This window comes from Homo sapiens, chromosome 1 (genome assembly GCF_000001405.40).
Source record: "Homo sapiens chromosome 1, GRCh38.p14 Primary Assembly".
NCBI classification, from domain to species: Eukaryota; Metazoa; Chordata; class Mammalia; order Primates; family Hominidae; genus Homo; species Homo sapiens.
Genome location: NC_000001.11, coordinates 92,660,888 through 92,685,903, shown reverse-complemented (window position 1 = coordinate 92,685,903; position 25,016 = coordinate 92,660,888). Strand labels below are relative to the sequence as shown.

The following is a 25,016-nucleotide window of genomic DNA, read 5'->3' as shown; positions in this document are numbered from 1 at the left end:
ATTATTGCCTCAATTTCAGAACCTGTTAATTGGTCTATTCAGGGATTCTACTTCTTCCTGGTTTAGTCTTGGGAGGGTGTATGTTTCCAGGATTTTATCCATTTCTTCTAGATTTTCTAGTTTATTTGCACAGAGGTATTTATAGTATTCTCTGATGGTTGTTTATTTCTGTGGGATCGGTGGTGATATCCCCTTTATCATTTTTTATTGCATCTATTTGATTCTTCCCTCTTTCCTTCTTTATTAGTGTTGCTAGTGGTCTATTTTGTTAATCTCTTCAAAACACCAGCTCCTGAATTCATTGATTTTTTGAAGGGATTTTTGTGTCTCTATTTCCTTCAGTTCTGCTCTGATCTTAGTTATTTCTTGCCTTCTGCTAGCTTTTGAATGTGTTTGCTCTTGCTTCTCTAGTTCTTTTAATTGTGATGTTAGTGTGTCAATTTTAGATCTTTTCTGCTTTCTCTTGTGGGCATTTAGTGCTATAAATTTCCCTCTACACACTGCTTTAAATGTGTCCCAGAGATTCTGGTACATTGTGTTTGTTCTCACTGGTTTCAAAGAACATCTTTATTTCTGCCTTCATTTTGTTATGTACCCAGTAGTCACTCAGGAGCAGGTTGTTCAGTTTCCATATAGTTGTGCGTTTTGAGTGAGTTTCTGAATCCTGAGTTCTAATTTAATTGCACTGTTGTCTGAGAGACCGTTTGTTGTGATTTCTGTTCTTTTACATTTGCTGAGGAGTGCTTTACTTCCAACTATGTGGTCAATTTTGGAATAAGTGCCATGTGGTGCTGAGAAGAATGTATATTCTGTTGATTTGGGGTGGATAGTTCTGTAGATATCTAGTAGGTCTGCTTGGTCCAGAGCTGAGTTCAAGTCCTGGATATCCTTGTTAACCTTCTGTCTTGTTGATCTGTCTAGTATTGACAGTGGGGTGTTAAAGTCTCCCATTATTATTGTGTAGGAGTCTAAGTCTCTTTGTAGGTCTCTCAGGACTTGCTTTATGAATCTGGGTGCTCTTGTATTGGGTGCATGTATATTTAGGATAGTTAGCTCTTCTTGTTGAATTGATCCCTTTACCATTATGTAGTGACCTTCTTTGTCTGTTTTTATCTTTGTTGGTTTAAAGTTTGTTTTATCAGAGACTAGGATTGCAACCCATGCTTTTTTTTTTGCTTTCCAATTGCTTGGTAGATCTTCCTCCATCCCTTTACTTTGAGCCTATGTGTGTCTTTGCACGTGAGGTGGGTCTCCTGAATACAGCACACTGATGGGTCTTGACTCTTTATCTAATTTGCCAGTCTGTGTCTTTTAATTGGAGCATTTAGCCCATTTACATTTAAGGTTAATATTGTTATGTTTGAATTTGACCCCGTCATTGTGATGTTAGCTGGTTATTTTGCCCATTAATTGATTCAGTTTCTTCACAGTGTCACTGGTCTTTACAATTTGTCATGTTTTTGCAGTGGCTGGCACCAGTTGTTCTTTTCCATGTTTAGTGCTTCCTTCAGGAGCTCTTGTAAGGCAGGCCTGGTGGTGACAAAATCTCTCAGCATTTCTGTGTCTGTAAAGAATTTTATTTCTCCTTCACTTCTGAAGCTTAGTTTGGCTGGATATGAGATTCTGGGTTGAAAATTCTTTTCTTTAAGAATGTTGAATATTGGCCCCCAATCTCTTCTGGCTTGTAGGGTTTCTGCCTAGAGATCCGCTGTTAGTCTGATGGGCTTCCCTTTGTGGGTAACCCGACCTTTCTCTGTGGCTGCCCTTAACATTTTTTCCTTCATTTCAACCTTGGTGAATCTGACATTTATGTGTCTTGGGATTGCTCTTCTCGAGGAGTATCTTTGTGGTGTTCTCTGTTTTTCCTCAATTTGAATGTTGTCCTGCCTTGCTAGGTTAGGGAAGTTCTTTTGGATAATATCGTGAAGAGTGTTTTCTAACTTGGTTCCATTGTCCCCATCACTTTCTGGTACAACAATCAAATGTATATTTGGTCTTTTCACATACTCCCATATTTCTTGGAGTCTTTGTTCATTTCTTTTCACTCTTTTTTTCTCTCATCTTGTCTTTTCGTTTTATTTCATTAATTTCATCTTCAGTCACTTTCTTCCACTTGATCGAATCAACTATTGAAGCTTGTGCATGTGTCACGAAGTTCTTGTGCCATGGTTTTCAGCTCCATCAGGTCATTTAAGGTCTTCTCTATAGTGTTTATTCTAGTTAGCCAATCATCTAACCTTTTTTCAAGGTTTTTAGCTTCCTTGTGATGGGTTAGAGCATGCTCCTTTAGCTCAGAGAAGTTTGTTATTACCTACCTTCTGAAGCCTACTTCTGTCAACTCGTCAAACTCATTCTCCATCCAGTTTTGTTCCCTTGCTGGCGAGGAGCTGTGATCCTTTGGAGGCGAAGAGGTGCTCTGTGTTTTGGAATTTTTAGCTTCTCTGGTTTCTCCTCATCTTTGTGGTTTTATCTACCTTTGGTCTTTGATGTTGGTGACCTATGGATGGGGTTTTGGTATGGAAGTCCTTTTTGTTGATGATGCGATTTCTTTCTGTTTGTTAGTTTTTCTTCTAACAGTCAGAACCCTCAGCTGCAGATCTTTTGGAGTTTGCTGGAGGTCCACTCCAGACCCTGTTTGCATGGGTATCATCAGCGGAGACTGCAGAACAGCAAATATTGGTGTTCTGAATTAGAATTCAGAAAAAATTTCTGAATTAGAATTCAGAAGTAGAATTGTGATCATGGGGCAGATTATTAACTCATGTTTATTTGAATTGAAAAGTGAAGGCAACACTTTAATGACAGGAAGTAAATGTAATTTGGCTCATTGGTTTAATAATAATGACTGCCTTTGCCAGTTAGGTCCTAGATTAGACGTCCATAAATAAGATAAATGTCACTTAAGTTTCAGTGGAAAAATTTTAAAGTACATATAAATTACAACTGTATGTCCTTTTTAACTATATTTACACTTGAGATAAAACAAAATTTAGAAGTCTTTAAAATGTATATGAGGAAACATTCTTTTAGCAGATACATGAGCAGAAAAATAAGACCACAGGATGGCATAGGATGATGGCAGAGGAGGAAATTTCAGGTAGTTCTCTGAAGGAGATGATACCTGAGTACAATTTTGAAGACCTTTGTTTCTTTCTTTTTTTTTGAGACGAAGTCTTGCAGGCTGGAGTACAATGGTGCGATCTTGGCTCATTGCAACCTCCTCCAAGGTTCAAGCCTCAGCCTCCTGAGTAGCTGGGACTAGAGGCGCATGCCACCATGTCCAGCTAATTTTTTAAAAATTTTTAGTAGAGACTGGGTTTCGCTATGTTGGCCAGGCTGGTCTCGAACTCCTGACCTCAGGTGATCCACCCACCTCGGCCTCCCAAAGTGCTGGGATTACAGGCATGAGCCACCATGCCTGGCCGAAGACTGTTGTTTCTAATTGCTAGGGTTAAATTATGCCTGCAACAGAAAATCCCTGCTGATATGGAACTTACTGAAATACAGAAGACTGACAGAATGATATACAGTGTAACATCCATCAGTGAACGTGCCATGAAGAAAACAAAGCCAGATAAAGGACATGGAGAGATGAGCACTCTTTTAGACAGGGCACGCAGAGATAGGGCTCACAGGCCGGTAAGATACTATTTGAGCCGACACCAGAGGGAAGTAAGAGTGCGAGTCATGGGATTATCTGGGGGAAGTGTGTCCTACAGTACAATAACAGTAAATGTAAAGACTGAGGCAAGAATGTGATTGATACATTCAAGGAATAGAAAACCAGTGAGAGGCCGGGCACAGTGGCTCACACCTATAATCCCAGCACTTGGAGAGGCTGAGGTGGGAGGATCCATTGAGCCTAGGAGTTTGAGACCAGCCTGGGCAACATAGTAAAACCCCATCTCTGCAAAAATGAAAAGGAGGAAAACCAATGGGACTGTAGTAGCATAGGCAAATAGGAGTGTGGTGAGCAGTGAAGTCAGAAACATGGTAGGGTGCTAGGGGTATTTAGAGCAATGCCATCTACTGTGGTAGCCATTACCCATATGTGACTATCTAGTCTAAATATGATTAAAATTTATTTCATCAGTTATATTTCAAGTGCTAATTAGTCACTCACATGTGGCTAATGGCTACTCTATTGGACAATACAGATCTAGCACGTTTTCGTCATTGTCAAACGTTTTGTTGGTTATTGTCCTCCTCATGGGCCAGACTTTTTCCACATCTGAGGGGAAACCAGTAGAGGATTTTGCGAAAAGTGACATGATCTGGTTTTAAAAGTTTTACTCTTTGCTGTAATGAAGGTTGGCCAGGTGAAGAGAAGGAGGGCATTTTAAGAAGAACGGTAATAGGTACAAAGGCTCATAGGTTCCCTTACTACATGACAGTTGTAAGAGTTGAATCTTAGCCTTTGACTTTTTTTTGATGAATTTTTACGTTGGTATACTTTTAAACTTAAGGGGGTACGATATACTCTTTACCAAGATTCACCAATTGTTTACATTTCATCCCATTTGCTTTATTATCCTCTCTCCTCTGTATGCGTATATAAATATAGTGTGTGTGTGTAAAATCCATTCCCATTTTGGGGGAGGTCCATTTGAGAGTAAATTGAGATATTGTGCCCTTTATCTGTAAATACTTGAATGTGTACTTCCTATGAACAACAACTTTTCTCTCCTTTAACATAAACCCAGTAGTTAATCAAAACAAGGAAATTATATTAGGTTGGTGCAAAAGTAATTGCAGTTTTTGCATTACTTTCAACGGCAAAAACCAGTTACTTTTGGACCAACCTAATAGATACAATACTATTATCTAATCCACAGTGTATGTTCAGATTTTATCACCAATATATGCTGTATATATGCTGTCCCAATAATATGCTGTATAACTATCTCCCCCACCCTCCGTCCAGGGTCCGCTCTAGGATCATGTGTAGGATTTAGGTGTTAATACCTATTTGGTTTTCTTTAATCTGACATATTTCCTCAGTCTTTGTGTTTCTGATATATTTAAAGAGTGTACAGGCCAATTATTTTGTAGAAAATCTCAAAGTCTGAGTTTTTCTGGGATTTCCCCAGGATTAGATTCAGGTTGTGCATTTTTGGCAGGTATACCCCTGATATTATATCTTCTCATTTCACCATACGATATATATGATATTACTTTCTCTCAGAACTGGTAATGTTAGCTTTGGTCACTTGATTAAGGTGATGTTTGCTGGGTTTTACTACTGTAAAGTTATTATTTCCCCTTTTGTAATAAGTAATTTGTGGCAGGCTACTTTGAGATTATGTAGTAACCTCTTTCTTTACCAAACTTAACCATACCAGTTTTATATCCATTTATGATTTTCCCACTCCCTCATTCTTTATTTATTAATCAGCATTCTACTGTAAGGAAGAGCTTTCCCTTCACCCTCATTTATTTATTCATTTATTTACATCAGTGTGAATTCATGGATTATTTTATTCAGTGAGCTATAATCCATTACTATTAAATTATCCCTGATTTGTCCAGTGGGAACCCTTGCAACCTGGGTGCTTTGTTCTTTTGATATTTTCCCCATTATTCTTTGGGAATTTCCTTTCTTTGGGGCAACAAAATATTCCAGGTTCAACTTATACCTTCTTGGCTCCTGCGCAGTAATGAGCTATTTCTCCAGAGAGCTTTGATTACTTTTTTGTAAGCCTTTGAAATTTAGTCTGAAGGTGATGAGTAACCACTGACACGCTGGGTGTGGCGTGATCCAAATCAACATTTTAAAAAAAGATCACTCTGTTAATAGTGTATAGAAAATATTGAGTTATGAAACTGGCCATAGAAAGAACAATTATGAGTATTTTCCAGTAATTTAGACAAATCATAATGCGGGTCTAAAAACACTATCAGTGAAGGGGGAACAAATAACTTTACACTGGAAAAACCTGGTGTGTACTCCTTCAGCCAGATGATCAAGGTCAACATCAATAGTGATGTTCTGTTGATAGTTTGTACCCTTAGTATGAGGCAATGAAAACGGCATTTATGTCTGTGGTCTTCCTCCTGAAAACCCAATAACCCCAGTATAATCATGAGAAAAACATGAGACAAATCCCATTTGAAGGACGGAATGGTCCCTTTTGAAGATCACATAATGATAACTACAAAATACCTGACCAGTACTCCTCAAAACTGTCAAGGTTCTCATCAAAACTGTCATGGGCTTTAGGTAACAGCAATGTGTTAATATTGGTTCATTAATTATAACAATGTACCATACTACTGTAACATGTTAATAATAGGGTAAACTGGGATGGGATACATGGAATCTCTGTACTATCTTCACAATCTTTTTGTAAACCAAATATTTTTTTTTAAATTAAGTTTATTGAAAAACACTATCAGTGGAGTTAAATAAGTAGGGTTTATTTTTAGGTGTATAAATGAGTGATATTTTTACATAATGCATAATGATAACTACTTCAGAGTAGTCATTTGTGAAGGCTATAAACTTATTTCAGTAGTGCAGCTGTTGAAAATGTTTTGCAGCTCTTTGGAGTCTTTAATAAATTCTGTCGGCTATCTTATAGTCTTTTAAGACAGTGGTCCCCAGCCTTTTTGACACTAGGGACCGCTTTCGTGGAAGACCATTTCTCCACTTATGGGGGCTGGGGGTATGGCTTCAGGTTGAAACTGTTCCACCTCATGTCAGATCATCAGTCATGAGATTCTCATAAGGAGCCCGCAGCCTAGATCCCCAGCATGCACAATTCACAATAGGGTTTGCACTCCTTTGAGAATCTAATGCTGCCACTGATCTGACAGGAGGTGGAGCTCAGGCAGTGATGTTCACTTGCCTGCCGTTCACCTCCTGCTGTATGACCCAGTTCCTAACAGGCCACAGACTGGTATTGGTCCACTGCCCAGGGGTTGGGGACTGCTGTTTTAAGATACACTTTAGTGAGAGACAGAGTAATGTAGCAGTCAAATCTGTGACTATACAGAAGTTTCTCAAGCTTTCTAAACCCCAGAGTGGGTATAACAACTTATATTAAAAAGTTGTTGTGAGCTAAATGAGATAAGTAATAGATTTCTGTCCTTTGAGGGAGAATTTTATTTTTGAAAGCAGCTGTAAGTTATTTGGAGCCTGGTCTGGTTTATATTTGGAGTAACCTTGGTATTGATATTTTTTGTCAAGAGCAAGATAAAAAAAATTTGGTGGTACTAATTTTTGTGTGGCCTATACATTTTTATAAAGGTAAATTTAGACTTACCATAGAGTTGCATATCGTGCTTACTCTCCTCCAATCAGTGACAGACCACAGAGATGATATGCCCTTTTCAGGACATCTTTTTTCTTTTAAAAAAATGGTTTATCACTTTCTGGGCGTTGCAGGGAAGGGTCCCAGGCTGGAGTGCAGTGGCTAGATCATGGCTCACTGCAACCTTGACTTTCCTGGCTCAAGCAATCCTCCCACCTCAGCCTCTGAGTACCTGCAACTACAGGCATGCACCCACCGCACCTGGCTAATTTTTGTATTTTTTGTAGAGACTGGGTTTCACCATGTTGCCCAGGCTGGTCTTGAACCCCTGGCCTCAAGCACTTGGCCCCCCTTGGCCCCCCAAAGTGCTGGGATTAGAGGCATGATCCACCGTGGTCAGTGTCATGTTTTAAATTATTTTTACTTTTTAATAATTTTGACCTTTATTTTAAATTCAGGGGGTACATGCACATATGTATTTCATGGGCATATTGCATGATGCTGAGGTTTGAGATATGAATGATCCCATCACCCAGATAGCAAGCATAGTACCCAACGGTTAGTTTTTCAGCCCTTGTCCCCCTCCCTGCCTTCGCCTTCTATTAGTCCTCAGTATCTGTTGTTCCCATCTTTATGTCCATGAGTACCCAGTGTTTAGCTCCTAGTTGTAAGGGAGAACATGGGTTTTTGGTTTTCTGTTCCTGTGTTAATTCACTTAACTCAGTACATCTTAACAGGGGTGCATGATGTCAGTATGTATTACTGGTGATGTTAACCTTAATCAGTTAGTTCAGGTGCAGTCTACTAGGATTCTGTACTGTAAATTTAGTATTTTCCTTTAACACTTACTAAATATTTTAGGAGAGATAATTTGAGACTATGCTTAAACTTTCACCCACTAATTTTAGCATCCATTAGTGGTTCCTCCCGCAGTAGTTATTACTGAGGAATTCTAATGGTGATTTTTATATTAACCTTATTCCTCCTATGTCTATTAATTGGAATTCTATAAGGAAGAGTTGTCCCCTTTCCCTCATTAAAATTTTCAAAGTCAATGTTGGTACCAGGATTTTTAAGTTAAGAGCCAGTTGAACCTACAGGTGTGTTTTAATTTGAGAAATAAGAATAATGGTTCATTTGTAAGTTTAGGGCTGAAAAGAATCTGTAAACTAAGTTGCATTTTGTGCTTTATACATTTCAGTTTGTAAATTTTCTTTTTGTGTGGTTTTTATTTTTGTCATTTGTAAAGTGAGTTTTTAATAAGAACTCATGAAGCCACATGATTTTTCTCACATCAAATATCTCCAAGTTATAAGCTAGAAGAAACTAAAGAAATTGTATTTTATGTTCATATGTATTTTTAAATTTTGTAATTTAATAACTACTTTTGAATGAAAACATTACCTTTAACTCTTTTTTTTTCCTTTCTTAGGCTTGAAAAGGAATACACTACAATAAAAACGAAAGAAATGGAAGAGCAAGTTGAAATTAAAGTAAGCAGTTGGGGGCTTTTTAAAGTACTGATTGATTGAAATCAATTATTGGACAGTAGATGTTTAAAGTTTGTACTTCTTATATTCATAAATGTATTTACCATCCTACTAGATTATAGTTAAAAATAGACATTTCAAAAAAGCAGAATAATGCGACTGAAGTGGCTTTCATTCCAGTATGAAGGAGAGCAAGCTCTTCCCTTTTTCTAGATTTGTTGGTGGCTCATCAGGAGAAAACACTTCCATGGAGAAGAAAATTATCATTCCATTTAAGCATGTTTTTTAAAGTTGCAGAGAAGACAATCTATAATAACACTTTCTATGCTGAGACCAACAAGAGTGTAATCTCAGGCAAACATTAAATAGAGCATATATTACACTAGAACTAATTATGGTTGCTCTAGAGCTGCAGAAAGCTTTGACTGATACGACTTTTTCTTCTCTAAGCAAGGGTTATACTTTTGAACTACTCCTCTCCAGAAAATCAAGCAGATTTTCAATTCGAAGGGCATATAAATACCCTATATGTACCCTAAAAATATAAAATTTGTACCCCCCTCCATAAAACACGGAATTCTTGAGGTGAGGGTCTGTGGCACTGTTGGAGCTGGGACTTGAGAAAAATTGTGTTGCCTTTTATGCTGATATTGTAGGATGGCGTTGATAAGTGGAAGCATGAGTCAAAGAACTTAGTGATTGGCCAATTCACTTTCTAATCTCTTTATTCCCCTCCACCCCCTACCCCCAACCCCTGGAGAAAGGGTTAAAAGTAAAATAATTTTAGTGGAGTGACTCCCTCCTCCCTTTTTAAACTTTGTGTTTGAATGTGTCTGATTTTTGACTTGGATCTGGCGAGACATTATATGACCACCTTATTTTTCTCCTTTTACAAGGAAATGGGTTCTGTTAAACTAATACTCTTTCCTGCCTTGGTCCTCCTCAAAAGCCTCTAGGGAGACAGTCTCTCCAGTTTTCTTATGTTAACTCTCTCTTATCAACTCTCCTCCCTTTTCTAGAGGTTCTATTCCCATTTCTGTCACCTTTTCCTTATCAAATGGAAGTAGATACTTCCACATTTTTTATATATATAGAAAAGACCCCTGTGGATGTTTTTTCCTTCCTTTTTTTTTTTTTAATTCTGTCACCCAACTGCTGCTCTGCTATTTGCTTTGCTTTTTTTCTTTTTCTTTTTTTTTTTTTTTGAGACGAAGTCTCGCTGTATCGCCCAGGCTGGAGTGCAGTGGTGCGATCTTGGCTCACTGCAAGCTCCGCCTCCCAGGTGCACGCCATTCTCCTGCCTCAGCTTCCCAAGTAGCTGGGACTACAGGCGCCCGCCACCAAGCCCGCCTAATTTTTTGTATTTTTAGTAAAGATGGGGTTTCACCGTGTTAGCCAGGATGGTCTCGATCTCCTGACCTCGTGATCCACCTGCCTTAGCCTCCCAAAGTGCTAGGATTACAGGCGTGAGCCACCGCGTCCAGCCCTATTTGCTTTTCTTTTAGGTACTATGAGTAAGGGTACTTTTACTGCAAGTAAAAAGTACGTCATCCTGATGAGTGGGGAGAGAGTATGAGTTTTCACATACTACGAATATTCGGAACTGCAAATCAAGAATCTGAGGATGGGGAAGCCATCCTGTTCATTTCACCACACTATATTATTGAAAAAAAAATCACAGTTCTATGAACAATCCTTACTCTTGAAGAAATTTCTTATAAAATTAAGTACATGAATATAGGAATACCAAAAGGCATTTTCAGAAAACAGATTTTTAGCAGACTTTCACCTATACCTGCAGTATTTTCTTTTCTTTTAGACAGGGTCTCCCTCTGTCACTCAAGCTGGAGTTCAGTGGCATGATCTTGGCTCATTTGCAGCCTTGACCTCCCGCGCTCAAGCGATCCTCTCACCTCAGCCTCCTAAGTAGCTGGGACTACAGGTGCACACCACCATGCCTGGCTAATTTTTTGTATTTTCGGTAGAGACAGGGTTTCACCATGTTGCCCAGGCTGGTCTCGAACTCCTGAGTGCAGGCGATCCACCTGCATTGGCCTTCCAAAGCGCTGGGATTACAGGCATGAGCCACCACGCCCAGCCATTTGCAGTATTTTCTATACTTTGTTTTTTGAGGAAATATATAGTTCATATGCCTGAAGAAATGTTTTTGAATCTAGCTCCATGTGTCTCAGGCAGTTGGCATAAAATTGTCTATAGAGAAGAATCGGAAAAAAGAGTTTAGAAAGTTAGTGGAACATATCAGGTAAATAAAGTGCTGATCTCAAAGGTAGTCTGTTCTCTTTTTATAATATTGTTTCCATGTAGTTCTTTCTTATACCATTTTCATCTCTTTCTTCACTCCCCAGTTCCACCAGATAGAAAAACCAAAACAACTTTTGAATGACTATACTTTTTTTAAACTTCATATTTAGGGGTGTCTGATTTTTTTTTCAACTGAATACTTTTTTTTTTTTAATTATACTTTAAGTTCTGGGATACATGTGCAGAACATGCAGGTTTGTTACATAGGTATACACGTGCCATGGTGGTTTGCTGCACCCATTAACCCGTCATCTACATTAGGTATTTCTCCTAATGCTATTCCTTCCCTAGCCCTCCACCCCCTGACAGGCCCCAGTGTGTGATGTTCCCCTCCCCTGTGTCCATGTGTTCTCATTGTTCAACTCCTGCTTATGAGCAAGAACATGTGGTGTTTGGTATTCTGTTCCTGTGTTAGTTTGCTGAGAATGATGGTTTTCAGCTTCATCCATGTACCTGCACAGGACATGAACTCATCCTTTTTTATGGCTGCTTAGTATTCCATGGTGTATATGTGCTACATTTTCTTTATCCAGTCTATCATTGATGGGCATTTGGGTTGGTTCCAGGGTGTCTGATTTTTTTACTTAGACCCTGACAACTCATTCTAATCATGATCAGATGACCACCTTATTTACAATTCATTAGCCAGGTATAATATTAATTGAGCCTTGCTGTAAAATGGGAAATGCTACTTCTTACACACACTCCCTCCCTCCCGCAAAAGTCTCTTTTACAAGAGAATGGGTTCTGGTTGTAAACTAGTACTTTCTTGCCTTGGTTCTTTTTAAAAGTCCATGGGAAGATAGTTTTGTGCCATTATTTTTACAGCCCATTGGTATGATCATCAAATTGTTTGATGTTTTGATATGGAAGTATAAAATTAGCCTTTGATGTTGTGAAATGTGTTTATAAGGTCTCTGTTGTTTTTACTTTAATTAAATTATAAGACCTTTGGGGTGATGACCTTCTATTCTAAGAACTATATCTGTCAGTGAGCCCCCGGTTAAGATGCGACTTTTAAATATTTTTTCACCTCTTCCCTAAAAGTGTTATAGGAAGATTTTGATAATAATGTCTTCATATGGAAAATCTTAAATTTTGCGTGTGAAATTTTTTGTTAATAGAAACATCTTTATCAGTATCTTCTTCCAGTCTATTGATGTTCTACCTGATTGGGAGGAGGTGAAAAATATTAAAATTCTAGTTTGGCCGGGCGCGGTGGCTCACGCCTATAATCCCAGCACTTTGGGAGGCCGAGGCAGGCAGATCACTTGAGCCCAGGAGTTTGAGACCAGCCTGGACAACATAGCAAGACCCCATCTCAATTTTAAAAAAGAAAAAAATTATAAAACTAAAATTCTAGCTTATATTAGGGTAACCCACAAATCTTTAAAAAGGAAAAAAACTTTGATTCTGATAGACATACGAACAGTTAATCTAATTTTTATATTTAAATTTGTGCTTCGGGACGCAGAGATCTAAAGCCCTAAAATGAGAAGTATGAGAAATTCTGGCCAGTTTTTAGTCAAAAGTAAAGTATTTTTTCCTGTTTAAAAACTATGGTACATTTCAGATATGCTGAAAGCCAGAAAATAATATAAAAGTGCTCACATATTCACTGCCTGGCATAAAAATGAAAAAAAAAAAAAAAAAGAGAAGTGTTATCTAAGTTGCCCAGGAATTACATTTTAACAATCAATGTGAAGTATTAGAATTGAAGCTCACATTTATTTAGCCCTTAATATATGATGGGTCACTTACATGCATTATTTCCCCTTATTCTTAAAACAGCATTATTAAAGGGTTCTTATCCTTACCTGTGAAGAAATTAGGCTTCAGAAAGCTCAAATATTATGCCAGTGGTCACATTGCGAGGAAACAGAGTCAAGGATTTGAAGTCTGATTTGTGTTATTCTAAGGCCCATGTGTATTCTTCAGTATATACACTGTGCTGCTGCTGCTTTCCAAGAGAGACTTTGATATATTTGTGATGTAAGATTTGGATGCCCATTTTTCTCTGGCATATCAAACTTTTCATTAAAAAAACTAATGGCTACATAATATCCAAGGGAGGTATGCTAGCCTGATTTATTCAATAACACTTCATTTAACAGATAATTCATAGTGCCTCCTAGATGCCCAAGCACTGTTCTAGGCACTTGAAATGTGGTTATGAAGTAGACCATGATCTGTCCTCATGGAGATTATATTTTAATATGGAAATAACAATAAACAGAAAAGTCAAATGTACGGTATTTTGGATGGTGGTAAAGTCTTAAGGAGAAAAAATAACCTCAGGGAAAGAGAATGTAAAATGGTAGTGTTTGGGTAGAAAATTTAGAGAAGTTAACCAGGTGATTTTTGAAAAAAGACCTGAAGGAAGTGATGGGACTAGATATGTGACTATCTGGAAGAATGGCAGAACCTATTCGGGGTGTGCCTGGTGAGGAGCAGTAAGGTGGCATTGTGGATGGGACAGCATGAATGATGAGAAAAGTGGTAGGAAGTAAGATGGAGCAGGTTGCAGATAATGTAGGATGTTGTCGACAGTGGTAAGGACTTTGGCTTTTACTCTGGTTAGATGGCAGTTTTCAGCAGAGAAGGACAAAATGTGATTTAAGTTCAGTAGATCATTCTGGTTGCTGTGTTAAGAGTAAATTGCAGGGATTGAGAGCATTTCTGATGAACGCTGATGTGGTAATGCAGACAAAAGATGATGGTGGGCCAGGCATGCCTACCATCAGGGTGGCTTATGCCTGTAATCCCAGCACTTAGGGAGGCCAAGGTGGGCGGATTCCTTGAGCCCAGGAGTTCAAGACCAGCCTGGGCAACATAGTGGGCCCCTGTCTCCACAAATTTTTTTTTTCAAATTGCCAGGCATGGTGGTGCATGCCTGTAGTCCTAGCTACTCAGGAGGCGGAGGAAGGAGGATCACTAGAACCAGGGAATTTGAGGCTGCAGTGAGCTGTGATCATGCCACTGCATTCCTTCCTGGGTGACAGAGTGAAATCCTGTCTTAAAAAAAAAAAAAAAAGATGATGGTGGCTTGGACTGAGGTAAGAAGTAATTGGATTCTGAATAGATTTCAAATATAAAGTGGACAGCTAGAATGTAGAGATGTGTGAGGAGGAGGAACCAAGCCTTGTGGTCTGAGCAGGTAGATAAATGGTGTTCCCATTACCTGAGATGGGAAAGACTCCAGAAGGATTTGGTTTAGTGGGGATACCAGGAGCCCAATTTTGGGTATCTTGGGAATGAGATGCCTAGGAGATGTCCAGTTAGCTTCTTAAATATTCAGATCTGAAATTAAAAGAAGCCAAGCTCAAAATATAAATTTGGTAGTTATTGGCGGGGTCATAGTATTGAAAGCCATGAGAATGGGTGAGATTACTTGGGAAAGGATTGTAGATAAAATAGAGAAGAATTCAAGAATTGAGCCTGAGAATAAACCAACATTTAAAGATGAGGAAGACAAGTAGAAAGTAGCAAACTAGGAGAAAACCAGGTAGGTGTAGTTCCCAGAAGCCAAGAGACAGTGAGAAAGAGAGAAGGATTTACCATGTCAAATACTGAAGAGTTTTTGTGAAATGAGGATGGAGAAATGACCATTGCATTTTCCAGCATGATTATAATTTATCCTAGAAACGAGTGGAGCAGAATGGTAGGTACTAAAACCTAACTGGAATAGAAGAAGAAAAATTAGAGATATTTTTCAAGGAATTTACTATAAGGATAAAAGAAATGGGACAGTAGCTAGAGAGGGTAATTATGTTGAATTTTTTGTTTCTGTTTTCTGTTTTTTTTTTAAGATAGGAGAAATAACTGCATGCTTTTATGGTGATAATCAAGTAGGAAAAATTTATCATTAAGAATGGGGGATAATCACTGGAGTCAGGAAGATACGGAATTTAGTGCGAAGTTAGGAGATGTAACTTAGTATGCTAGCATGAGTAGTTAATACACAATAACAAGAAATCAAAATATATGGGCAAAAATGCAGGTAGGATGTAGGATGTGGTTTTGGGAGCTTGTGAAATTCTCTTCTAATTGCCTCAGTTTTTTTCAGTGAAATCATATGCCAGATTATCAACTGAGAGACAATGGATTGGAGGGTTGCTGGTTTGAAGAAAGAGGAATAGGTATGAAATAGTGACCTAGGGGGATAGAAGAAGGACATTATTATTGCTAAGAACCATATTGAATTTAGTGATCAGTAATTTAAATAAACGTCATGGTTTTGTTTTTGTTCAGTCATATTTACTGGCATAGGTACAGACTCAAAATTGTCAGATAGTTGATCCAGAGTAGTGTTTTTTCCAGGCAGTTATACTACGAAGGGAGAGAAGGGCAAGGGGGCTTAAAAGCAAGGGAGCCGTATAATGATTGCAAATTAAACTTTGTCAAGAAGGAATAGAGAACATCAAGGATTGAGGGACAGTGAAAAGTTGTTGGGATCACTAGACTGTCTCAGTGAAAACAATTGTTGGGGTTGGGTTACTTTGTAAACTGAGTAAGCTGGAAAGAATAGGAAATAGTGATTGAAGAGTGGGTTATTTGAAATGAGATTATCCTATTTCAGGATATAAGGTTGTTTTCAGTTTTTCTTATTAAAAATAATGCTAATGGTTAACATCTTTGTATATAACAAGTTTTTTGTCTCCTATTATTATTTCCATAGCCAGTTATAAAAAGTAGAATTAATAAGTTACAAGATATTAGCATTTTAAAGACTTTTGATGTATAATACGTAAATTTCCTAAAGAATGTGTCCAGGGTATGTTTGTCTTAGCAACAAGTTTCCATTTAATGACTACTTTGCCAACACTAAGTATTTCATTCTTGCTCTCACTTTTAGTCTCTTTTTTTTCTAATTTGGTAGGTCAAAAAATTGTCTCTATTTTCTTTTTCAATGTACAAGATAAACATTTGTATGTAGCTATATCTAGGTATCTTCCTCTCTGTGGTTTTCACTTTAAAGTTTAGGAAGCACTCTATTCTAGAAAATGTGAGGAAGATATTGAAGAATTATTGAGAATCAATCAGGTGGTAGATTTTAGTTATTAACCTTTCTATGTATCGTCAATAAACAGTTCAAAAATATACTGGAAGAAGTTCCATTTGAAATAAAAATAAAAGTATATCTAGGAGTAACCTAAATGAAAAATAGAATAGGACCTAACAAACACTGGAAAACTTTACACACAGACATTTTAAAAAGATAACTAAAGATAGACAAAAATAGCTCCATGTTATATAAAGATATGAATTTCCCAGTGATTTTTTTTTTTTTTGAGACAGAGCCTTGCTCCGTTGCCCAGGCCGGAGTGCAGTGGCATGGTCTTGGCTCACTGCAACCTTCACCTCCTGGATTCAAGTGATTCTCCTGCCTCAGCCTCCTAAGTAGCTGGGATTACAGGCATGCGCCACCATGCCAGGCTGATTTTTGTATTTTTAGTAGAGATGGGGTTTTGCCATGTTGGCCTGGCTGGTCTCGAACTTCTGGCCTCAAGTGATCCACCTGCCTTGGCCTCCCAAAGTTCTGGGATTACAGCTGTAAACCATTGTACCTGGCCCTCAAATTCAGTGAAATTTAATTCCTTGTAAAATTCCAGGGCAATAAAAAAATCTTAAGAATAATTCTAAAAATAGACAAAAGTAGTAAAATAATATTCATGCCTAACTTCAAAACTATTGTGGGCAGTGCTTATCATTAACTGAGTATTTGGCATATATTAGGTGCTATGCTATCTCATTTAATTTTTCAGTTCCCTGTAGGTTTGATTACTCTTAATTTCTGGATGAGGAAATGGAGATTCTAAAACATTGAATGTCATGTGCAAGTGTTAATTGTAGAATGAGAATTTGAACTTAAATCTGCCTAACTTCAAAACCTAGTCTCTTAGCTACTTTAGTATACTAGTATTTGGGGTTTGGGAACAATAAACAAATGTAAGAACAGGGGATATTAGCTCTACTAGGTATTAAAACAGATAGCAAAGCTATAATTACCAAAATACTGTGATATTAGTTTTAAAAAAAGAAGACAGTAACACTTGAAACGTAAAAGTAACCCTGAAATGGTCTGTATTAACTGAAAAAGTCTATTGATCAATTCCTGATGTAAATATTATACAAATGAGGAAGTGGTGATTTATTTTTTAAATGGTGTTAAGCATTTGGTTAGTTGTTTGTGGGAGAAAATCAATTTAGATTTTTATTTATAATGAAATAGATTTCAGAAGCCGTAAAAGGGGTTGGGGAAGGAAATCCAGATGAGTGTTTTCAGTTCTAAATTTTATTTTAGCATGATTTCTGTCATAACTTTATTCACTCAGTTGTCTGGTGGGAACTTAGTTTTCTAAATCTTTTAAGATAAAACATTACCTTTTGTTGATGAAATATGATTGAGAACATTTTGAGAATCCCATTTATTTCTTTGGCTCTCTAGACTTTAGCAGCATTTAATAATTGCTTATTTGTGTAGACTACTATGCTGCACACAGTAGGAGGAGCCAAGACATAAGAACATTTTCTACTTCTCAAGCTGTTATTTTGTCTGAGATTAGTTATTAACTTTCCTGTATATCATAATGTCTATTTCAGATCATCTGAATTTTAGTGAATAGAACAAGAAATCTAATTTGCCAAGTATCTTTGTAATAACTCTAAGATTTGTTTCAATTTGTGATCCACTTTAATAAGATGCAGTAATTCATAGAGTCTCTCATTTCCCTGAACTAATACTTTATATGTTATATAAAGCCATATTTAAGTCTTTACTGGCAAAATAATAGGTTGAATTGATGGAAGAATTTTCTGAGACAGACATTTTTTAGCAGAAATTTATAGGAAGGTGGGGCTGGAAGAAGGCCCTTGATTGAGTTCTGGAACAAATTGGTACAAAAAAGTAAGTTATCACCTTGAGGCCGGGCACAGAGGCTTATGCCTGTAATCCCAGCATTTTGGGAGGCTGAGGCGGGCGGATCATGAGGTCAGGAGATCAAGACCATCCTGGCTAACACGGTGAAACCCCCTCTCTACTAAAAATACAAAAAATTAGCTGAGCGTGGTGGCATGTGCCTGTAGGTCCAGCTACTCAGGAGGCTGAGTCAGGAGAATCGCTTGAACCTGGGAGGCAGAGGTTGCAATGAGCTGAGATCGCACCACTGCATTCCAGCCTGGGCGACAGAGTGGGACAACATCTGAGGAATTTGAAAATGAAAAGATAACTTATAAAGGGGATTAATAAGCAATTATACTGGTGGATATGCAAAAATAACTTTTTAAAAATGTAGAGTGACTTGGATTTAATACTTAATGACAGTAATTAGACAAGTTTTTTGGGAACCAGGCATTGAATAATTAGGTAAAGTGCTTTTCAAAAAAATCTGGTTTTACTTTTTGAACTATGAGGAGATACTAGTAATTGGAGTTGTTTTCTCAGAAAAAATTAATAAATTCTTTGTATTTTCAGAATTTTGCAACTTGTCATCTATACTGTATAATAAATGGAGACTATTGAAGTCTAAATGGGCAATTTTTTTTTTTTAAATTTGAGACAAGGTCTTGCTCTGTTGCCCAGGATGGAATGCTGTGATGTGATACTGGCTCACTGCAACCTCCACTTCCAGGGCTGAGGCCGTCTTCCCCCTGAGCCTCCTGAATAGCTGGGACTACAGGCACATGCCACTACGCCCAGCTAATTTTTATATTTTTTGTAGAGACAGGGTTTTGCCATGTTGTCCAGGCTGGTCTTGAACTCAAGCTCAAGTGATCCACCTGCCTGGTCTCCCAAAGTGGATTGCAGGTGTGAGCCACTGAGCCAGGCCCTAAATGGAAAATTTGATGTTTAGCCTATGAACGTGCATTTTTTAGATCTCCTGTTTCTTCATTCAACTGACATTTGAATATTAATTATATAGGTAGGCTCTGTTGGAGGTAGGCAAGTTAGAATCTTTTTTGTCTAATGAGGATGTTAAAACACATAAGAAAATATTTGATTATGAGTCATTATGGTAAGTATGTATAGAAATGGAAGGGCTTATTTCTATATGTACTGTAGAGTGTATTTAAATTTAATCACAGCTGGAATGATGAATGTGAGTATTTCCTTTGCTGTGGTGTATTTATTTCTCTTTCTTTATCCCTTTCCTTTCCCTTCTTTTTCCTTTTCTTTTTCCTCTTTCCTTTCCTTTCTTCTCCCCTTCCCTCCCCTCCCAACCCCTCCCTTCCCCTCCCCTCCCCTCCCTTTTTTGGACACAGGGTTTCACTCTGTCTCCCAGGCCGGAGTACAGTGGTCCAATCTCGGCTCACTACAACTTCCACCACCCCCACCTCAGCCCCCACCTCCCAGCCCCCCACCTCAGCCCCCACCTCCCAGCCTCCCACCTCAGCCTCCCAGGTAGCTGGGACGACAGATTCGCACCACCATTCTGTGTGTGTATGTGTGTGCATGCATGCATGTGTGTGTGTGTGTTTTTCATAGAGACAAGGTTTCACCCTGTTGCCCAGGCTCATCACCACCATTCCTGGCTAAATTGTGTGTGTGTGTAGTTTTCATAGAGACGAGGTTTCGCCATGTTGCCCAGACTCAGGCTCATCTGGAACTTCTGAGCTCAAGCCATCTGCCGGCCTTGGCCTCCCAAAGAGCTGGGATTACAGGCGTGAACCATGGTGCCCTGCCTTCTGTGTATTTCTTACTCTGAGTCTTTGACATTTGATAATGTAATCATTCCTTAGACTCCTTTCTTATTTATAAAAGGTGATACATTTTCAGGACTGTGATTTAGAAATCTTTTTTTTCCTCTCAAAAATGCTTGCAAATAAAACTTTTTTTTTCTTGGCAGAGGTTACGCACAGAAAATAGACTTTTAAAACAGCGCATCGAGACATTAGAAAAAGTAAGTAAGTGACTACTTATGCAAGCTTCTGTTGAATGCCTGGTGTTTTTTCTGTATATTTATTAAAAATCCTCAAAAATTCTGGCACATGTCTCCTATGTTGTAGTATTGACTGCTTAGCTTGCTTACCTTACTATTTATTTAGCCAGATAACTTGTTACTAATAAAAATTGATCAGTTGTACTGGTTCTTAAACTTTAGTATTCAGGTTTTAACTGAGATTAACAGTAACATATTGATACTATTTGTTTTCTTTACACATAATTTCTAAAAAGTATGTTCTTTTATAATTTAGTTGGGAGTCCATTCTGATATAGCATTTTAAAGATGAGTTTCAAATGTTGCCCTGGACTTTCTAGCATATTGGAAGTGTGGCAGTGATTCCTTTAAGGCCTAGGATTGCTTTTAGTCGAAGTGACTGATTCCTTATATAAAAATTCACTCATGTTGATTTTCAGCACAAAGGAATTGTGCATAAACTTTTAGTTCTTATAATTATTTTAGTATCTACTTGTTACATTTTCTCTGTTTTATATAGAGTGGGCAAATATGGAAATTTTGCATTATTTTTCATAGTGTGCTTTTGATGAAAAATCTTTTGTAGTCATTTACAGATGCTATAAGAATGAATTGAGTAGTAAAAGTATGGTTTAAGAATTTTGCTTTATTAAAAGAAAGACATCTGAATTCACAAACTCTTTTGGTGCTTTTTTCTTTTTCTTTTTTATTTTTTTGAGAGAGAGTCTCGCTCTGTTGCCCAGGCTGGAGTGCAGTGGCTCAATCTTGGCTCACTGCAGCCTCCTCCTCCCAGGTTCGAGGGATTCTCCTGCCTCAGCCTCCTGAGTAGCTGGGATTATAGGCGTGCGCCACCACGCCTAGCTAATTTTTGTATTTTTGGTAGAGACAGGGTTTCACCATGTTGGCCAAGATGATCTTGATCTCTTGACCTCGTGATCCGCCTGCCTCGGCCTCCGAAAGTGCTGGGATTACAAGCATGAGCCACCGTGCCCAGCCACTTTTTTCTTTCTTTAACTAGAGATAAGAGTAAGTAGATTTAAACATACCCCTCATCATATTGCCAAGGATCTTAAAATCTTCCCTGAAAATCTACAATCAAGAAATAAATAAATGGAAATATGGATATTTTGCAGTATTTGTCGTTTGTTTGAAAAGTATTGATGATTTCATATTAAATAGAAGTGCGTAAGGACAGGATATTTATTACATGTCTGCCTTTGTTGTATAATAATTGCAGATACATCATATTAAGTCAAAAATAGTTTCCCTGTTTTTCTCTCATCATGTTAGGGTTGCTATGAGAGTAATTCTACTTTTGGTGACTCCACAGGAAGATTGAGCTTGCTTTTAAGTTGTTTTAATTATATACTCTTTTTTCCCACTAAATATCTAGCTTACAGTCAAATATGCATCTTCTTAGTTTTTTTTTTTTTTTAAATCTTTGGAGTAAGACATTTAAACTGGGAAAGGATTATAATATTTCATTGAACCTTCGGAATGAGAATGATGCTGTAAGAAAGTGTTAAGTTTGGATTTTGCTTCTAGAAAATTAAGTTCCTTTTTTTATTGGCTTAGATGGCCCAGATGTGTCACTTAGCACTTAGAATTCTATAAATACTATGTATCAATTGAATTCTGTAATAAAAAAGTATACTTTCTCAGTTATTGCTAAAGTTTAAGTTTAGCTCATTAATTTTATTTGTCATATTTTCCTTGCTTTGTTTCTTTGAAAGTTGTGGTTGCACAAATTGCTGTCACACTTTATAATTGGAATTGCTTACTCAAATTCCTTCTCCCTTTCATGTAAGTGGGTTGACAATATGGATTAAGTCTAAAAGATGTAAATATACCAAAAGAGGAAGAGGAAATATTTGACTGAGTGCAGTGGCTCACGCCTATGATCCCCGCACTTCGGGAGGCTGAGACAAGAGGATTGCGTAAGGCCAGGAGTTCAAGATTGGCCTGGGTAACATAGCAAGACTGTATCTCTACAAAAAATTTTAAAACTAGCTACATGTGGTGGCACACACCTGTAGTCCTAGCTGCTCAGGAGGCTGAAGCAGAAGGACCAACTCCTTGAGCCGAGGAGTTGGCAGTTACAATGAGCTACATGATGATGCCATTGCATTCTAGCCTGGGTGACAGAGTGAGACCCTGTCTCTATTTTAAAAAAACAAAACAAACAAACAAAAAAATTTGCTTGTTCCAGGTAATGAAAACCCACTTGGAATTTGTGTTTGGTATCTTCTGGAAACACATGATTTTCAACCACCTATCCTTGTTTTTATATATTTTTCTTAAGGTTTAAAAATAAAAACATTCAGTAAAAAATGGTTTTAAACTTTAAATGTCCATTTTAATTAGCAATGAAAAGTAGATGGAATTTGGGTATATTTGTTTCTTTTTTCCTAATTTTATCACTTTTATTTCTTTCTCTTATATTTCTATCTGAATTTTTCCTTTTGTAGGAAAGTGCTTCCTTGGCAGATAGATTGATACAGGTATAGTTTTTGTTTTGTTTTAGTTTTTTAAAACATCTTCTCTAACTTCTAAGGAAAGTCCTAAACCTCGAAATTCATATTTTAATGCATGCAATTTTACATGCGTTTTTCTAGAAATAATTTTTTGGGTGGTATATGTGGGTATAAATTTAATTTTTTGTAACAAGGTGTTATCTTGGTTTATTTTTGCACGTTTTAAAGCTAACCTTATTTTTTAAAGTATTTATTTCAAAATGGCAATAAGTGGATTCTGTGAAATTAACTACTATTCATTGAAAATTTTAGTCCTGCATGTACAACTCAGTAATATTGCATGAATTAAATTTTTATTGACTGAAAGAATTGTTCTTGTCAGGTGAATTTTTCGTTTAGTTTCCGAAAATTTGCTGGAGCAATAACAAGCTGCTAGCTAATGATTACGTAGGCTGTTCTATTCGCTGAGGTGACTTTTTTTTTTTTTTTAACATGTCAAAGTAAATAACTAAACCTCACAAAGGCAGTCTTTCTTGAATCTATCCTAAATTGCTTTACACACACAAAAATTATGTCCTAAGGGACAAGTGACAAGAGCCCAGGAGGCTGAGGAAAACTACCTCATAAAACGGGAGTTGGCCACCATCAAACAGCAGAGTGATGAGGCCAGTGCTAAGCTGGAGCAAGCTGAAAATACCATCAGGAAGCTCCAGCACCAACAACAATGGGTAAGGAGTCTGGTAGTGCTTTTCTCATCTTTCTCATCCCCCTTCCTTTCAATCATTTTTTTTTTCATAGCACAGATTTTGTGCTGTTGTTTTAAATAATTTTGTTTTAGACTTTGAACTTTTAAATTATACAATTTTATGTTCTGTGATATTTAGGGGTCTTATTGTGGCCTAAGGACTCCTGTTCTAATTTTTTTTCTGTCTACATAGTTTTGTTAGAAATAGGTAATATTTTCTTTCCTTACACTGTGTTTTAAGTAATGGGAAATAAGCAGTGTATGTCAGAATTGCTTTTAAGTTTTTAGAAATCTGTTTTCATAATAGGTATCATTTTGCTAACAGTAATTTTTAAATCCCAACTTCAGCTAGTTTTTGTTCATTGTACAGATGAAACATTATCCAGCATGCAGAATATATGCAGTTATCTCATTTAAAGCTTCGACAGTGTGGCAATTTGTGTCTTACGAAATACTATTGCTTAGACTTCCTACATCAAGACATTGAATTATGGGTTAAGGTGTATGCCTATATTTCAAAGGGAGAGAAGTTGCAAAGATGAAAAAGATTAACCCTTTAAAAATTATCTTAATTAACCTAGGGTGTATTTCTAATTATCTTAATCAACCTAGGGTGCGTACTAAACAGCTACTAATTGTACATCTAGCCTCAGGTATCTTTTGCAGCTTAGACATTTTCCATTGGCAAATTCAGACAAGGGCGATCTTAATCAGGAATATGAGGGTAAAAGAAAAGCCAACTGTTTATCTTTGAAAACATATTATTTCTTGTTTCAGTTTTCCATCCTCAAGTAGGCGCTAGATTGTAATAAGTAAGCAGAAGAAGTTGTGTTAATCCTGGAACTCTATGCAGATCTGGAAGGCAAATAGAGTGACTGCAAAGTAGGACGTTCTTTTTATTCAATAAAATTAAGAAACAGCATCGTCATCTCGGTACAAAAAAATCAGAAAACCAGAAGCAAAAAGAAAAATTGGCAGTTGAAAGGGTCATAAACATCTTTTTTTTTCTGTTATTGAAGATTGCTAAGAAAAATGAATAGGAGAGTGACAAAATAATACTAAAAAGAAGGGAACTCATATTTTGCTCCACTTTTGTATGTAATGTCAATAATATCAAAGCATTAAAAAGAAAAAAACAATTGTGGATTTATATTAGGAATTTACCTGAAATAAGTTACTTCAATGTGATTTTCTAAAGAAAACACAATAAGTATTGTTTGCATTTAGCATAAGCTACAGTCATAATACATTAGAATCATGAATTAAATTTTTTACATTGTTTTTCAAATATTGAGACTTATTGATAGATGTATATCAAAGGGATAGAATGCTGGTTTATAGTGAAAAATTTAACTTGGTGAGCAAAAATGGCCATAATAAAGTGAATGAGCATATTACGGCTAGAAAGTGAACATCTGTTGCTCATTGTTTTAATTATAGCCTTCCAATATAACTTTATGAATTCTTCAAAGTTTCAGAATAAGGGTTTTAAATTTGTATTCCAGCAGGAGGTATTGAATTACCAATATAAGCATCCACCGCCACCACTCCCTACTGCCAAATAGTGGCAATTTATATGATATAAAGAGCTTTGGATTTTATTTATGGAACTAGATTCTAGTCCTGTTTTGCCAACTATGTGATCTTGTATACTCAAAGACAGTTTTGTGTGTGTGTGTGTGTTTTTTCCCAAATGATTAAATAGGGCTAGACCTTCTCAGGTCTCTCTCTTTCACTTTTAAAATTAACTTTATTAAAGTATAATTTATATGTAATAAAATTCATCAAATGTAGGTATGTAGCTTGATGTGTTG

The 25,016-nt window shown here is 37.1% G+C and overlaps 1 protein-coding gene across 28 annotated transcripts in view, besides 1 other annotated feature; it reads left to right on the top strand.

The window, feature by feature from the left end:
- The window catches only part of EVI5 (ecotropic viral integration site 5), a 283,715-nt gene that overhangs the window by 106,507 nt on the left and 152,192 nt on the right, over positions 1 to 25,016 (top strand). For 19 of the 28 annotated variants that reach the window (XR_001737401.2, NM_001377211.1, NM_001350197.2 and 16 more), the window contains 4 exons: positions 8,686 to 8,746; positions 19,912 to 19,965; positions 22,452 to 22,484; positions 23,039 to 23,185. Coding sequence is in view for 27 of the 28 variants with exons in the window: in NM_001377211.1 (NP_001364140.1) it covers positions 8,686 to 8,746; positions 19,912 to 19,965; positions 22,452 to 22,484; positions 23,039 to 23,185 (295 nt within the window). In the remaining variant the exon portion in view is untranslated. The remainder of the gene's footprint in view (positions 1 to 8,685; positions 8,747 to 19,911; positions 19,966 to 22,451; positions 22,485 to 23,038; positions 23,186 to 25,016) is intronic. The other 9 variants (NM_001308248.2, NM_001377212.1, NM_001377210.1 and 6 more) reach the window with 2 other exon arrangements.
- Positions 3,498 to 3,792: a silencer, noted in NCBI's record as "tiled region #13174; HepG2 Repressive non-DNase unmatched - State 15:Elon". NCBI's record gives its function as "represses a minimal TATA promoter and a strong SV40 promoter by Sharpr-MPRA in HepG2 cells {active_cell/tissue: HepG2}" and the evidence as "EXISTENCE:reporter gene assay evidence [ECO:0000049][PMID:27701403]".